At 40.3% G+C, this 16501-nt stretch overlaps 1 annotated feature.

The window, feature by feature from the left end:
- Window positions 15209-15708: an enhancer, noted in NCBI's record as "H3K4me1 hESC enhancer chr1:22623785-22624284 (GRCh37/hg19 assembly coordinates)". NCBI's record gives its function as "activates a minimal SCP1, AML or CMV promoter by ChIP-STARR-seq in naive H9 embryonic stem cells {active_cell/tissue: H9 hESC(naive)}" and the evidence as "EXISTENCE:reporter gene assay evidence [ECO:0000049][PMID:30033119]".

Raw genomic sequence — 16501 nt, 5'->3', positions numbered from 1 at the left:
ATGGTACCTACTTCAAAAGGCTGTTGTAACTCTTAAATTTAGATTTAATCCATGAAAAGCCCCTAGCACAGTGCCTGCTACCAGGCACTACCCAATAAAAGCCGGGTTTAATACCCGTTGGGTACTTGCTATGTGTCCAGCACCACGTAGGGCACTCCAGACTGTCATAGTTTATCTTCATGATCACCTTGTGAAGTAGATGTTATTATTGTCCCCATTTTGCTGAGGACAACACTGAGATTTCAAGCAGTCAAGTAACCTCCCCACAGTCTCACAGGAAAAGGGTGGGGCTGGGATTTGGAACCTGGTTTCTCTGATTCTAGGAGCTGAAGTCTTGCAGGGATCCAGGCAGCTCCTGGATAGAAAAGGAAGGTCTGGCCGGGCGCCGTGGCTCACGCCTGTAATCCCAGCACTTTGGGAGGCTGAGGCAGGTGAATCACTCAAGGTCAGGAGTTCGAGACCAGCCGGGCCAACATGGTGAAACCCCGTCTCTAATAAAAATACAAAAATTAGCTGGGCATGGTGGCACATGCCTGTAATCCCAGCTACTTGGGAGGCTGAGGCATGAGAATCGCTTGAACCCGGGAGGCGGAGATTGCAGTGAGCCTTGAACCCGGGAGGCGGAGGTTGGGGTGAGCCAAGATCACACCACTGCACTCCAGCCTGGGTGATGAAGCAAGACTTTGTCTCAAAAAAAAAAGAAAAAAGAAAAGGAAGGTCTGCGTCTGGCTCTGCCCCAGACACATTTATTCATTTGTTCCTTCCTTCTGTCATGTATTCATTCAACAAACATATAGATGTTGTGTCAGGCCCTGCAGATGGAGGCTAACAAGAGACACAGAGACCATGCTCTCAGCGAACTCACAGCCTACTGTTCCCTCTGGCTTCCTCTAGATATCACAGTTTTCAACTATAAAGGTTCTAGAATATACTAATAACCCTTCCAAGCCTAGCTCATATGCTTCTTTCTGAAAAGCCTGTCTCAATCTCCTCCCACAACCTGATAATCACAAGTGACATTTCGTAATGCCAATTGTGTGCCAGGCATGGTGCTGGGGGCCATTCAGGTATTAGCCCACTGGGGGAGTAGGATAAAGCAGGCTCCTGGACTTTCTGACTTCTGAGGCAAAAGGCACATGGTAGATCCACGGAAAATGCTAACTGACTTATGGTCCCTCTTTCTAGGAGCATGGTCCATTGAACATTTGTAAAAGACCAAATCCTTCCAATGGTTGAACTTGACCTGCCCCAGCCCTGAACTCATCTTCTACTACTCACCCCCTCCCTCACTCTGCTCCGACCACACTGGGCTTCTTGCTATTTCTAGGTTCTCCAAGCACACTCGCACCTCAGGACCTTTGCACGTGTCCTTCCTTCTGTCAAGAAGTCTCTTCTCCAAAATACCACCACACCTGGCTTCTTCAGCTTCTTTACGTTGATGCTCAAATGTCACGTTATCATTCAGGCCTTCCTTGACACTCTGCTTAAAATGACAGCTCCACCCCACCCCACACCCCATCCCCTAACCCTGCTTTTTCTTTCCCATTAGAGTACCTATCATTGTCTAATATATGAGATATTTATTTATTATTATTATTATTATTATTATTATTATTATTATTATTATTATCATTTGAGATGGAATCTCGCTCTTTTGCCCAGGCTGGAGTGCAGTGGCGCGATCTCAGCTCACTGCAACCTCTGCCTCCCTGGTTCCAGCGATTCTCCTGTCTCCGCCTCCCAAGTAGCTGGGATTACAGGTGTGCACCACCATACCCAGCTAATTTTTGTATTTTTAGTAGAGATTGGGTTTCACCAGGTTGACCAGGCTGATCTTCAACTCCTGACCTCAAGTGATCCACCCACCTCGCCCTTCCAAAGTGCTGGGATTACAGGCGTGAGCCACTGCGCCTGGCCAGATATTTATTTACTAGCATTTATCTCCCCACTCTCCACTTTTCCCTCCCAAGAATGTGAATTCTAAGAGGTCAAAAATATCATGTGTATTTTGTTGATTGAAGTATTCTCAGACCTTATTACAGTAGCTGACACACAGTAGGTGCTCAAAAAATGCTTTTGAGTGAACAAATGAATGTATGTCTGTGGTTCCAAAAAAGGTTTTTATTAATAATAAGTAATAGTTTGTGAATAGCAAGTAACCAATAAGTGTACGTGGCTTTTACAAACAGCTTTGGCCGGGTGTGGCGGCTTATGCCTGTAGTCCCAGAACTTTGGGAGGCCAAGGAGGGAGGATCACTTGAGGCGAGGAGTTTGAGACCAGCCTGAGCAACAGCGACCCTGTCTCTACAAAAACATTTTTAAAAAGGCTGGGTGCAGTGGCTCACACCTGTAATCCCAGCACTTTGGAAGGCCAAGGCAGGCAGGTCACGTGAGGTCAGGAGTTTGAGACCAGCCCGGCCAACATGGTGAAACCCTGTCTCCACTGAAAACACAAAAATTAGCTGGGCGTGGTGGTGAGTGCTTGTAATCCCAGCTACTAGGGAGGCTGAGGGCGGGAGAATCATTTGAACCCAGGAGGCGGAGGTTGCAGTGAGCAGAGATCACACTATTGCACTCCAGCCTGGGCGACAGAGTGAAATTCCATCTCAAAAAAAGAAATTTTTTTTTAAGATAAAAATTAAAACAGCTCTACTGAGCTACAGTAAGCTTGTACAGTTAGATGCATTTTGACACGTGGATGCACCTGTGAAACCAACACTACAAGCAAAAGAGACTCTTTGTAATTTTTCCTTCCTCCAACCCACCCTCTTCTCCAGGCAACCACTGGTCTGCTTTCTGTTACTAAAGATTAGTTTGCATTTTCTAGAATTTCATATAAAAGCAACCATACAGTATTTACTGATGGTTTTTTCACTCTGCCTAATTATATTGCTATGTATCTACGCAGTCTCATATGTTAGAGCGTGTTCCTTCTTATTGCTCCATTGCATGAATATACCATAATTTGTTCATCAATCACCAGCTGAAGGACATTTGGTTGATTCCAGTTTGGGGCTATTACAAATAAGTCTGCTATGAATATTTGTGTACAAGTCTTTGTATGAATAGATGGGACACATGCTTTTTTTTCCTCATGGGTTATGTGGTACGTGTATGTTTAACTTTGTTAGAAATTGCCAAACTCTTTTCCAAAATGTTTGTACCAGCTTCCATGCCCACCAGCAGCACATAAGAGACCCAGTCATTCCCCACACTCAGCACCAACACCTGCTATGATCAGTCTTTCAAATACCAGCCATTCTAATAGATGTGTAATGATAGGTATCTCCTTGTGCTTTAATTTGCATTTTTCTAGTGACATGTTTTACTTTTTTGTGTGTGTGAGACAGGGTCTCACTCTGTCACCCAGGTGGGAGTGCAGCGGTGCCATCATGGCTTACTGCAGCTTGGACCTCCTAGGCTCAAGCAATCCTCCTCTCTCAGCCTCCCAAGTAGCTGGGACTACTGGTGTATGCCACCACAGCCAGCTAATTGTTTTATTTTTTGTAGAGAAGAGGTCTCACTATTGTTGCCAAGACTGACATGTTTTCTTTTTTTTTTTCCCCTTCAACTTTTATTTTAAGTTCTGGGCTACATGTGCAGGATGTGCAGGTTTGTTACATAGGTAAACATGTGCCATGGTGGTTTGCTGCATAGATCAACCCATCACCTGGGTGTTAAGTTTAGCATCCATTAGCTATTCTTCCTGATGCTCTCACTTCCCCCAGCCAACCCCGACATGTTTTCTATCAAACATCTTTTCACATGATTATTTACCATCCGAATATGTGATTTGGTGAAATGACTTCAAATCTCGCCCATTTAAAAAAATAAGTTGGGCGCTCTCTTATTTGAGTTTTTGAGAGTTCCTTACGTATTTTGGATATAAGTCCTTTATCAGATACAGGATTTGAAAAAATTTCCTCCTATTATGTGGCTTGTATTTTCATTCTCTTAACATTGTCTTTTGAATAGTACAAGTGGGTTTTTTTAATTTTTAATAAAGTCCAATTTATCCACCTCTTTTATGAGCCATGCTTTCGGTGTTGCAGCTAAGAAATATTTGCCTAACCCAAGGTCATAAGGATTTTCTCCAACGTTTTCTTCTAGGAATTTCATAGATTTAGATTTTACATTTAGATCTATGATCCATTTTGAGCTCATTTTTAAAATATAGTATAAAGTATAGATAGGTCTTTCTTTCTTTGTTTTTGCAAGTAGATATTCAATTGTTTCAGCACCATTCCATAAAAAAACTGTTCTTTCTCCACTGAATTGCATTTGCATCTTTGTCAAACATCAGTTGTCCATACACATGTGTATCTATTTCTGGATTTCCTTTTGTATTCCATTGATCTATGTGTCTATCATTAAGCCCATGCCACACAGTGTTGGTTACTGTAGCTTTATGCTAAGTCTTGATATCAGGGAGTGTTAAGTCCTCCCACTTCACGGTTTTTCAGGGTTGCTTTGACTATTCTAGGTCCTTTGCATTTCATGCAACTCTTAGAATCAGCTTATCAGTCTTACACAAAAGACTGGGATTTTGATTGGATTACATTGACTCTATGGGTTAATCTGGGGAGAGCTGACATCTTAACAATGTTGAGTCTTCTAACTCATGAACATAGTATACCTCTCCATTCATTTAGGTTTTCTTGCACTTCGGCAATGTTTCATAATTTTCAGTGTGCACGTTTTGCACATCATTTTTCAGCGTTTGCACTGTGTTTCAGTGTTTTCATGTCTTTTGATGCTGATGTGAATGTTGTTTTTAAAATTTTCAGTTTCTGTATTGTTCATTGATAATACACAGAAATAGAATTGAATTTTGAATGTTAATCTTGTATCCTGCAATCTTGCTAAACTCAGTAATAAATTACAGTGCAAATTAGTTTTTCTACGCACAAGATTATGTCATCTGCAACAGATTTACTTCTTTCATTCTAATCGGAATGCCATTTATTTATTTATTTATTTATTTTTCCCTCATTGCTCTCGTGAGGACTTCCAGTACAGTGTTGAATAGAAGTGGTGAGAGCAGACATCCTTGTCTTATTCCTGATCCTAGTTTGTTAACAGAGTGAATTACATTGATTAATTTTCAATGTTAAGCCAAATTTGCATTCCTGGAATAAATCCTACCTGGTTATGATGTATCATCCTTTTGATATGTTATTGGATCCAATTTGATAAAATTTTGTTATGAATTTTTACATCTATGTTTATGAGGGGTATTAGTTGTAGTGTTCTTTCTTGTAATTTTCTGATTTAGGTATACGGGTGACGCTGGCTTCATAGTATGAGTAGGGGAGTATTCCCTCCTCTTCAGTTTTCTGGAAAAGATTGTGCAGAATCGATATTATTCTTTCTTAAATATTTGGTAGAATTCACCAGTGAAGCCTGAGGTTTCCTTTGAGAGAAGTTTTCTAGGTATAATTCAATTTCTTTAATAGATATGGATTTACATCTATTTCTTATTTATTTCTTTTTGAGTGACCATTGGTAGCTAACATCTTTCAAGGAATTTGTCTATTTTTTTAACTCATGGAATTATTAGCCCAAAGTTATTCATATTTTTCCTTTATTGTCTCTTTAGTATCCATAGAATTTGTAGTAATGCCACCTCTCATTCTTGGTATTGTAATTTGTATCTTCCCTCTTTTTTGACTAGTGTGACTAGACGCTTATCAATTTTATTGATCTTCTCAATAACCAGCTTTTGGGTTTACTGATTTTTCTCAGGTTTTTCTGCTTTCTATTTCATTTATTTCCTCTCTGAGTTTTATTATTTCCTTTCTTCTGCTTCCTTTGGTTTTATTCTGCTCCCGTTTCTCTAGTTTCTTTAGGTGGAAGCTGAGGTCCAGGATTTGGGAACTTTTTTCCTTTTCTAATAACATATTAGTGCTGCAAATTTCCACCTAAGAACTGCTCTATCAGCATGCCACAAATTTTGATATGTTGTGTGTTTAATTTCATTCCATTAAAATATTTTCTAATTTCCCTTTTAATTTCTTCCTTGATCCTTGAGTTATTTAGAAGTGTGTTATTACATTTCCAAGTGTTTGGGTGATTTTTCTGGAGATCTTTCTCTTATTGATTTCCAATTTAATTCCATCATGGTCAGTGAACATTCTTTGTATGACTTGAATCATTTTAAATTTATTGAGACTATATTGAGACTATAGTCTATCTTGCAACCATTTCATGTATACTTGAAAAGAATATGTATTTTGCTGTTTTGAGTGGTGTGTTCTATGAATATCAATTAGATCAAGTTGGTTGATAATTCTGTTCAGACTTTCTGTATGCTCACTGATTTTTTTCCACTAGTCCTATCAATTCTTGAAAGAGGAGTATAGAAATCTCTGATTATAACTGTGGATTTGTCTGTTTCTCCTTGGAATTCTATCAGTTTCTGTTTCTTCTACTTTAACCTCTTTATAAGGTGCATATATACTTAGAATTGTTATGTCCTTTTGTTGAATTGACTTCTTTATTATTATGAAATGACTTTATTTATCCATTGTCAAATTATTTGCTTTGAAATATACTTTGTATGGCATTAATATAGCCATTGCAGCTTTCTTTTTATTAGTATTAACATGATATATATTTTTCTATAATTTTACTTTTAACCTATTTGTGTCCCCATATTTAAAGTCAGTTTCTTATAGGCAGCATATAGTTGGGTCTTACTGTTTCATCCAACCTAACATCTCTATCTTTCAATGGAGATGTTCAGATCATTTATATTTAATGCTATTATTGATATAGTTAGGTTCAAATCTAGTATCTCAGTATTTGTTTTCTAATTGTCCCATTCGTTCTTTGTTCCCTTTCTCCTCTATTTTCCCCCTCTTTTTGGATTAATTAATTTCATTTTCTCTTCTTTATTTGCTTGTTAGCTACAACTGTTTGTTTTGCTATCTTGGTCCCTGCTTTAAGGTCTATAGCATGCATATTTAACTTATCATTCTACCTTCAAGGAATATTATACCATTTCACAAATAGTATAAGAACCCTAAAATGGTATTCTTTCAGGCTGGGTGCGGTGGCTCACGCCTGTAATCCCAGCACTTTGGGAGGCCAAGGTGGGTGGATCACGAGGCCAGGAGATCAAGACCATCCTGGCTAACACGGTGAAACCCCGTCTCTACTAAAAATACAAAAAAATTAGCCGGGCGTGGTGGTGGGCGCCTCCAGTCCCAGCTACTAGGGAGGCTGAGGCAGGAGAATGGCGTGAACCCGGGAGGCGGAGCTTGCAGTGAGCCAAGGTCGCGCCACTGCACTCCTGGGCGACAGAGCAAGACTCTGTCTCAAAAAAAAAAAAAAAAAATAGTATTCTTTCATTTCTCCTCTCTCAGCATTTGTGCTATTTTCATACATTTTACCTCTATGTATACTATAAATTCCTCATTACCTTGTTATTGATTTTGTTTAGTCCGATATCTCTTAGATTTTTTAAAAAATTAACAAACAATAATTGTATATGTTTATAGGGTACAATATGATTTTTTAAATATATGTGTGTGTATATATATAGTGAAATGATTAATTCAAGCTAATATATTCATTGCCTCACATACTTATTTTTGTGATGAGGTCATTTACAATCTATTCTCTTGGCAATTTTCAAATATATAATGCAGGATTATTAGCTATAGTCCATGCTGTATAACAGTTCTCCAAAACTTATTCCTCTAGTCTAATGGAAACTTTGTACATTTTGACCAATATTTCCCCATTTCCTGCCCTCCCACCCCAGCCTTTGGTAACCACCATTGAACTCTCTGATTCTATGAGTTCAGTTATTTTAGATTCCACATATAAGTGATATCATGCAGTATTTGTCTTTCTGTACCTGGCTTATTTCACTTAGCAGAAGGCCTCCCAGTTTCCTCCATGTTGTTGCAAATGACAGGATTTTCCTATTTTTAAAGGCTGAATAGTATTCCATTGTGTTTATATACCACGTTTTCTTTATCATTCATTCACTGATGGACACTTGGATTTATTCCGTATCTCATCTGCAATAATGAATTGTGAATAACGCTGCAATGAACAGGGAATGGAGATGTCTCTTCAATGATTTCAATTCTTTTGGCTATGTTCTCAGAAGTGGAATTGCTGGATCATATGGTAGCTTTATTTTTAGTTTTTTGAAGAATCTCTATATTGTTTTCCATAATGGCTATACTAGTTTACATACCTACCAATCATGTACAAGATTCCATTTTCTCTACATCCTCACCAACAATTGTTCTCTTTCAACTTTTTGGTTAACAGCCATTCTAACAGGCGTAAGTAGTCAATTATCTTTTAAAGAGATTTAAATAATAAGAAAAAAGTTTGCATTTTTAATCTTTAGAGTGATCATGTCAGGTGCTCTTCATTCTTCTGTGTAATTTCATATCCCACACGATACCATTTTTTCTTCTGCCTAAAGAACTTTCTTGAACACTTCTTACTGTGTGAGTCTGCTGATAGTGAATTATTTTGGCTTTTGTATGTCTGAAAAAGTCTTTATAATATATATATTTTGAGACGTGGTCTTACTCTGTTGCCCAGGCTGGAGTGCAGTGGTACAATCATGGCTCACTGCAGCCTCAACCTCCCAGGCTCAAGCAATCCTCCCATCTCAGCCTCCTGGGTAGCTGGGACCACAGGGGCAAGCCACTGTGCCTGGCTAATTTTTTTATAGAGACAGGGTTTCACTGTGTTGCCCAGGCTGGTCTTGAACTCCTGGATTTAGGCAATCCACAATCCTCAGCCTCCCAAAATGCTGGGATTATAGGCAAGAGCCACTGCACCTGGCCTTGAAAAAGTGTTTATTTTACCTTCTCTTTTAAAAGATATTTTTTCTGGGTATAGAATTCTAGATCAATAGTTTTTTATTTTTCTAATACTTTAAAGATGTTGCTCCACTGTCTTCTCACTTGCATTGTTTTCCATTGGAAATCTGCTGTCATCTTTACTTTGTTCCTTCATACACTGTGTCTTTTTTTCCTCTGGCTCTTTTTAAGATTTTCTCTTTCCCATTGGTTTTGAGCAATCTGATTATGGTGTAACTTGGTGTAGCTTTCCTCATGCTTCTGTGCTTGGAGTTCAGTGAAAGTCTTGGCTCAAATTTTTAAAAATACAGTCATTTTTTTGTTTGAGTATTTTTCTTTCCAATGATTTTTTGCTTTCCCTTACCCCCTTTCTCTCCTCTCCTTTGGAAACTCCATTTACCTACGTATTAGGCTGCTTGAACTTGTCCCACAGATCAATGATGCTTTGTTCATTTTTTTAATTGAATATCTTTTTTCTCTGTGGCTCATTTTGGTTTTTGTTTGTTTGTTTTGTTTTGTTTGAGACAGGGTCTCGCTCTGTCACCTAGGCCAGAGTGCAGTGGCATGATCTTGGTTCACTGAAACCTCTGCCTCCTGGGTTCAAGCGATTCTCATGCCTCAGCCTCCCAAGTAGCTGGGACCACAGGCATGCACCACCATGCCTAGCAAATTTTTGTATTTTTAGTAGAGACAGGGTTTCACCATGTTGGCCAGACTAGTCTTGAACTCCTGGCCTCAAGTGATCCACCCACCTTGGCCTCCCAAGTGCTGGGATTACAGCCATGAGCCACCTCACCTGGCTTTCTGTGGTTCATTTTGGATAATTTTTATTGATATATCTTCAAGTCCACTGGTCCTTTCTCCTACAATATCTAGTCAGCTATTATTCCCACCCAGTTTATTGTTCATCTCAGATGTTGACATTTTAATAGATTTTTTATTTGGGTCTTTTTGATATCTTCTCTGATTCCACTTAACCTGTTCAATCTTTCCTCTCATTTTTCTTTAACAAATAGAATACAGTTATAATAACTTTTTGAATGTTTTTTGTCTGCTAATTCGAACCTCAGTGTCAGTTCTCGGTTGGTTTTGATTGACTTTTCTCCTCATTTTGGGGTTGCATTTTCCTGCTTCTTTAAATGCTTGGTAATTTTTTATCAAATGCCAGACATTGTGAATTTGACTTTATTGGGTGCTGCCTATTTTTGTATTTTTATTAAAATGTTTGATCTTTGTTCTGGGACACAATTAAATTGCTGGAAAACAGTTCCGTCATTTCAAGTCTTGCTTCTTAGATTTGTTAGGAGTGACGAGAGCTGCATTTTGTAAAGGGATAATTATTCCCACTGTTGAAGCAAGACTCTTTTGAGTACTCTCCCCAGTGCCCCATGAGTTATGAGGTTTTTCAACTGACAGGTGAGAATAGGCTCTGTTGAGTTCTGTGTGAGTGTTCTGTGTGAGTGTCGAGTACGGTTCCCTCTTGTGCTCTGGGGTGGTTCTTCTTATCTTGGGCAATTTTTTCACATGCACATATGCTTATGGGACTTAGGGAATCTTCAAAAGCCCTGAAACTATGCACAGAAAGACCCCTGCATATTCACTTGTCATCTGGAGCCTCCTATTTTCTTTTTTTTAAAAAGAGAAAAAAAACCTTTTATTTTAAGTTCAGAGGTACACGTGCAGGTTTGTTACATAGGTAAACTCGTGTCACGGGAGTTTATACATTATGTAATCACCCAGGTATTAAGCCTAGTACCCATTAGTTACTTTTCCTGATCCTCTCCCTCCTCCCACCATCCACCCTCCAATAGGCCCCAGTGTCTGCTGTTCCTCTCTTTGTGTCCATGTGTTCTCATTATTTAGCTCCCACTTATAAGTTAGAAGATGCAGTATTTGGTTTTTTGTTCCCATGTTAGTTTGCTAAGGATAATGGCCTACAGCTCCATCCATGTCCCTACAAAGGACATGATCTAGCTCCTTTTTATGGCTGCATGGTATTCTGTGGTGTATATGTACCACATTTTCTTTATCCAGTCTATTATTGATGGGCATTCAGGTTGATTCCATGTCTTTGCTATCATGAATAGTCCTGCAATGAACATACAGGTGTATGTGTCCTTATAATAGAAGAGTTTATATTCCTTTGGGCATATAACTGGTAATGGGATTGCTGAGTTAAATGGTATTTTTGTCTTTAGTTCTTTGAGGAATTGCCACACTGTCTTCCACAATGGTTGAACTAATTTACACTCCCACCAGCAGTGCATAAGTGTTCCTTTTTCTCCACAACCTTGCCAGCATCTGTTATTTTTTTGACTTTTTAATAATAGCCATCCTGACTCGTCTGAGATGGTATCACACTGTGGTTTTGATGCACATTTCTCTAATATCAGTGGTGTTGAGCTTTTTTTCATATAATTGTCAGCCACATGTATGGCTTCTTTTGAAAGGGTCTGTTCATGTCCTTTGCCTACTTTCTAATGGGGTTGTTTGTTTTTTCTTGTAAATTTTTTCAAGTTCCTTATAGATGCTGAATATTAGACCTTTGTCAGATGCATAGTTTGCAAAAATTTTCTCCCATTCTATGGGTTGTCTGTTTACTCTGTTAATAGTTTCTTCTGCTGTGCAGAATTCTTTAGTTTAATTAGATCCCATTTGTCAATATTTGCTTTTGTTGCAATTGCTTTTGTCATCTTTGTCATGAAATCTTTGCCTGTGCCTATGTCCTAAATGGTATTGCTTAGGTTGTCTTCCAGGGTTTTTATAGTTTTGGGTTTTACATTTAAGTCTTTAATCCATCTTGAGTTAATTTTTGTATATTGTGTTAAAAAAGGGGTCCAGTTTTAATCTTTTGCATATGGCTAGCCAGTTATCCCAGCACCATTTATTGAATATGGAGTCTTTTTCCCATTGCTTGTTTTTGTCAGTTTTGTCAAAGATCAGATAGTTGTAGGTGTGTGGTCCTATTTCTGGGATCTCTGTTCTGTTCCTTTGGTCTATGGGTCTGTTTTTGTACCAGTGCCACGCTGTTTTGGTTACTGTAGCCCTGTAGTATAGTTTGAAGCAGAGTAGCATGATGCCTCCAGCTTTGTTCTTTTTGCTTAGGATTGTCTTGGCTATTCAGATTCTTTTTTGGTTCCATATGAATTTTAAAGTAGATTTTTCTAGTTCTGTGAAGAGTCTCAATGGTAGTTTAATAGGAATAGCATTGAATCTATAAATTGCTTTAGGCAGGTCATTTTTACTGTATTGATTCTCTCTATTCATAAGCATGGAATGTTTTTGCATTTGTTTGTGTCATCTCTGATTTCTTTGAACAGAGTTTTGTAGTTCTCCTTGTTGAGATCTTTCACCTCCCTAGTTAGCTGTATTCCTAGGTATTTTATTATTTTGTGTGTGTGTGTGGCAATTGTGAATGGGATTGCATTCCTGATTTGGCTCTCTGCTTGACTGTTGTTGCTGTATAGGAATGCTAGTGATTTTTGCACATTGATTTTGTATCCTGATGCTTTCCTGAAATTGTTTATCACCTTAAGAAGCTTTTGGACTGAGACTGTGGGATTTTCCAAGCTATAGGATCATGTCATCTGCAAACAAGGATAGTTTGACTTTCTCTCTTCCTATCTATTTCTTTCAGTGGTGTTGATGCCCTTTCTTTCTCTTGCCTGATTGCCCTGGCCAGGACTTCCAATACCATGTTGAATAGGAGTGGTGAGAGAGGGCATCTTTGTTCTGTGCCAGTTTTCAAGGGAAATGCTTCCAGCTTTTGCCCATTCATTATGATGTTGGCTGTGGAATTATCATATATGGCTCTTATTATTTTGAGGTATGTTTCTTTAATACTTAGTTTATTGAGAGTTTTTAACATGAATGGATGTTGAATTTGATCAAAAGCCTTTTCTGCATCTACTGAGATTATCATGTGGTTTTGTCTTTAGCTCTGTTTATGTAAGGAATCACATTTATTGATTGGCATATGTTGAACCAACCTTGCATCCCAGGGATAAAACCTACTTGATCGTGGTTGATGAGCTTTTTGATGTGCTGTGGGATTCAGTTTGCCAGTATTTTGGTGAGGATTTTTGCACTGATGTTCATCACAGATATTGGCCTGAAGTTTTCTTTTCCTGTTGTATCTCTGCCAGGTTTTGGTACTAGGAGGTTGTTGGCCTCCATCCTATTTTCCACAGTTGTTTTATTTTCCAAACATCACAGCAATGAAGACAAAGAGCCCACCCTCCAACCCAACACCTATTCTGAATTTAAAAAGCAAATCCAATGATAATGACATGAACTGGGGACACTGTAGACCAGCCAGGTGTAATCCTTGGTCACCAGTTTTGGTCTTCTATTTCTCCCTTCTTATTCTATTAATGCCATTATCAAGCATAACAGAAAATCATTTATTAAAATGAGGGACTCTGGTGACCCAGAGATTTGAGTCTTTTTTTTTTTTAATTCTCTGCAAGTGTTGCACAAAATGATTTGAGGCTTTTAAACAAAAACAGTACTGAAAAGATAAGCAGTTTACCCCACCACGAAATTCCCAAGCTGAAATTATTTTCAAACTGTACCCCAAATAAAATTATATCATCTTTTTTCTTCATTTACTGAACTTAATACTCTTAATGTGCTATGTCAGTATATGGATGACATTTACTTCAATTTAATAGTCTCATGCATGCGGTACTTTGGTGCATTGCCACACCAAAATGTGCTAACTTGGATCAGATTCTTTAAGGAGTCAGTGACCAAAAAGCAAATTAAGAATAACCATCCAGGCCGAGCGCAGTGACTCACACTTATAATCCCAGCACTTTGGGAGGCCAAGGCGAGTGGATTACCTGAGGCCAGGAGTTTGAGACCAGCCTGGCCAACATGGTAAAACTACATCTCTACTTAAAAAAAAAAAAAAAAATTAGCCGGGTGTGGTGACATGTACCTGTAATCCCAGCTACTGGTTTGGCTGAGGCAGGAGAATCACTTGAACCCAGGAGGTGGAGGTTGCAGAGAGCCGAGATCGGGCCAGTGCACTCCAGTCTGGGTGAACAGAGTAAGACTCCATCTCAAAAAAAAATAAAGAAAGAAAGAACAACCATCCAGCTGGGCGCAGTGGTGTGCACCTGTGTTCCCAGCTCAGTAGCTGTGGCAGAAGGCAGAAGGACCACTCAAACTTCAGGAGTTTGAGCAAGAGTTCTAATCCAACCTGGGAAATATAACAAGACGGTGTCTTTAAAAAAATAATAATAATAGCCATCAGAGGAAGAAATTTTAACATTCAAAGCTTCCTCCCATTCCTCTTCCTCTGTCCTCTCTTTTCCTCCACTACCCTCTCGGCTCTTCTTCTTCTTTCCTGTCCTCTTCCCTTCTTTCCCAGCTTCTCCCACCTCCATATCAAGTTAAAGTCAAAAATATCTGGGCTTAAATCCTGGCTCCACTGCCTTCTTCTTGGATGACCTTGGTAAGGTGACTTCTTAACCTGTCTGAACCTGTTTCTTCACATATAAAAACAGGACGATGCTCTTTAGCTAAGAGAGTGGTCACGAGGATCAAATGAGATAATATGCATCAAACACCTGGCACAGCATATGTGCTTAGTAATGGAAGATATTAATCCTTCATTTGATAAACGTCTGTTGAGCACCTGTTCTGTGGGGGCCTTGTGCTGAAGACACAGAAACCAAGGAGTACAATAAGGGGTATAGGCAAACAAATAAATTGCACTGAAGTATGGTAAGAAATATTATAGAAATCTGAATAAAATTATCAGAGGACAGGGATGCCCCTAGGCTGAAGAGTCCTCCATCACTAGAGGGGTATAAGCAGAGAGCATGGGTACCATGTTTTCTTGCTGCCTGGTGTCTGGGTATAAGGGTTGGGTGGGAGAGGGACCTCTGAGCTTCGGGTGGAGTTGACTCCACTCCCAGCTGGTAAGGATAGCAGTGCATGTGACTAATCCTGGCCAATGGGAACTCACATCCCAAGGTCTTCTGAGGGACTTGATAAGGGTCTGGGGCTGCTGGCAGGCACCTTGCCTCCTTATAATACTGAGAATGAGGCTACCATGGAGGGAGCAGAGCTGAGGGATGTTCAGAGACCCATCTTTGATGATATGGTTGGAACAGCTGGATTCAACCATACCTGAAGCCAAACTCTCCTTGGATTTTGATGTAAATTAAGCCCCTTAAAAAATCCCCCTTTAGTTTTCATCTAGATCAACTTGGGTGCCTTTCCTCTATTCCTTGTGGACCAAAGAGTCCTGTAACTGACAATGAAGATGCTGAGAAGCTCAGTAAATGTTTGGTGAGAAGGGGGTATGGGAGGAGCTAGATGACCTCCAGAAGCCCTTCCGGTGAGAGAGGCTTTGAGTTGGGCATTGAAGGGGCTGAATTGTTGGTTGTTTGAAGGACAGCAGAACAGAGCAGGCAGTGCAGTGCCCCAGAGTTCCGCCGACTCCAGTTTCCATTCCGGGAGCACTTCCTGGTGCATTTAAATGTGCCCCTGTGTGTGAGTGCCTTCAGGGGGTTTCAAAATAGCCTGAAATATAAACAGACTGGAAACCTACTCCTTCTCTTCCTCTCCCTGCTTTTCCTCTCTCCCGGGGTGGGGATGGGGGAAGCTGGTGCCGGTGCTGCAGAAGCTCCATTTGGAGGATTTAGAAAACATTTCAAGTTCGGTCTCCTTCTTTCTAAGTCTGGCAAGACCGCCTGCCTGGGGCAATTTTCCCCCTGAGTGCCAGGCCCAGGTGTGTGGGCAGGAAAAAGCAGCCCATTGTGTTCCAGCTTCGGGTCCTTCCGGTCCTAGGACTTGGCCCCTGCCAGCCTTGGGTTCCCAAGGAAAAGAGGCAGGGAGCACACTGGAGAAGCAGTGGGGCCTGGCACTTTCCTGCTGATGGAACAGATCCCTTCACGATAAAATTCCAGGCCACAACAGTTTATTGAGCAACTACCCCTGGGAGCTAACCAGAGGGACAAAACTCAGGGAACAGAACATGCTTTAATCTGGGATTCGGGATGTTAGCCTGCCGTGAACCTGGGGTAACTGGTTCCAAAGCCAGCTCCCAGCACACCTCCCAGAATTCACACCCTTGTGGGGCCCCTCCCCTGGACCTGCACAGGCTCCGTGACTCACTTTTAACCAACAGAACACAGCAGAAATGATGCTGTGTGATTTCGGAGGGGAGGTCAGAAGCCTTGCAGCCCCAACTGTCCTTCTCGGGACACCCGCCCTGGGGTGCTCCCTCTAGGGGCCCAGCCACCTGCTGTGGGAAGCCCAAGCCACAGGGAGAAACCACAGATAGTATCATGTGTTCCGTTGTGTTTCCCCACCACACCCAAATTCATATGTTGAAGTCTTAACCCTCAGCACCTCAGAATTTCCTAATCTAGGAATAAGGTTGTTGCAGATGTACTTAGTTAAGATGAGGTCATCCTGGAATAGGGTGGCTAATCCAATGTGACTGGTGTCCTTATAAATCGGGGAGATTTTGGGCACAGAGACATGCACATGTGGAGAATGCCATGTGAAAATAAAGACAGAGATGGGGGTGGTGCTTCTACAATCCAGGAAATGCCAAACATTGCCAGGAAACCATCAGAGCCTGGAAAGTTCTCCCTCACTTGGACTTTGATGTGAACTGAGTCCCCTAAAAGGTCTCCCTTTATTTT

Source organism: Homo sapiens, chromosome 1, assembly GCF_000001405.40.
Source record: "Homo sapiens chromosome 1, GRCh38.p14 Primary Assembly".
Lineage (NCBI taxonomy): Eukaryota > Metazoa > Chordata > Mammalia > Primates > Hominidae > Homo > Homo sapiens.
This window is presented reverse-complemented; position numbering and strand designations above follow the sequence as displayed.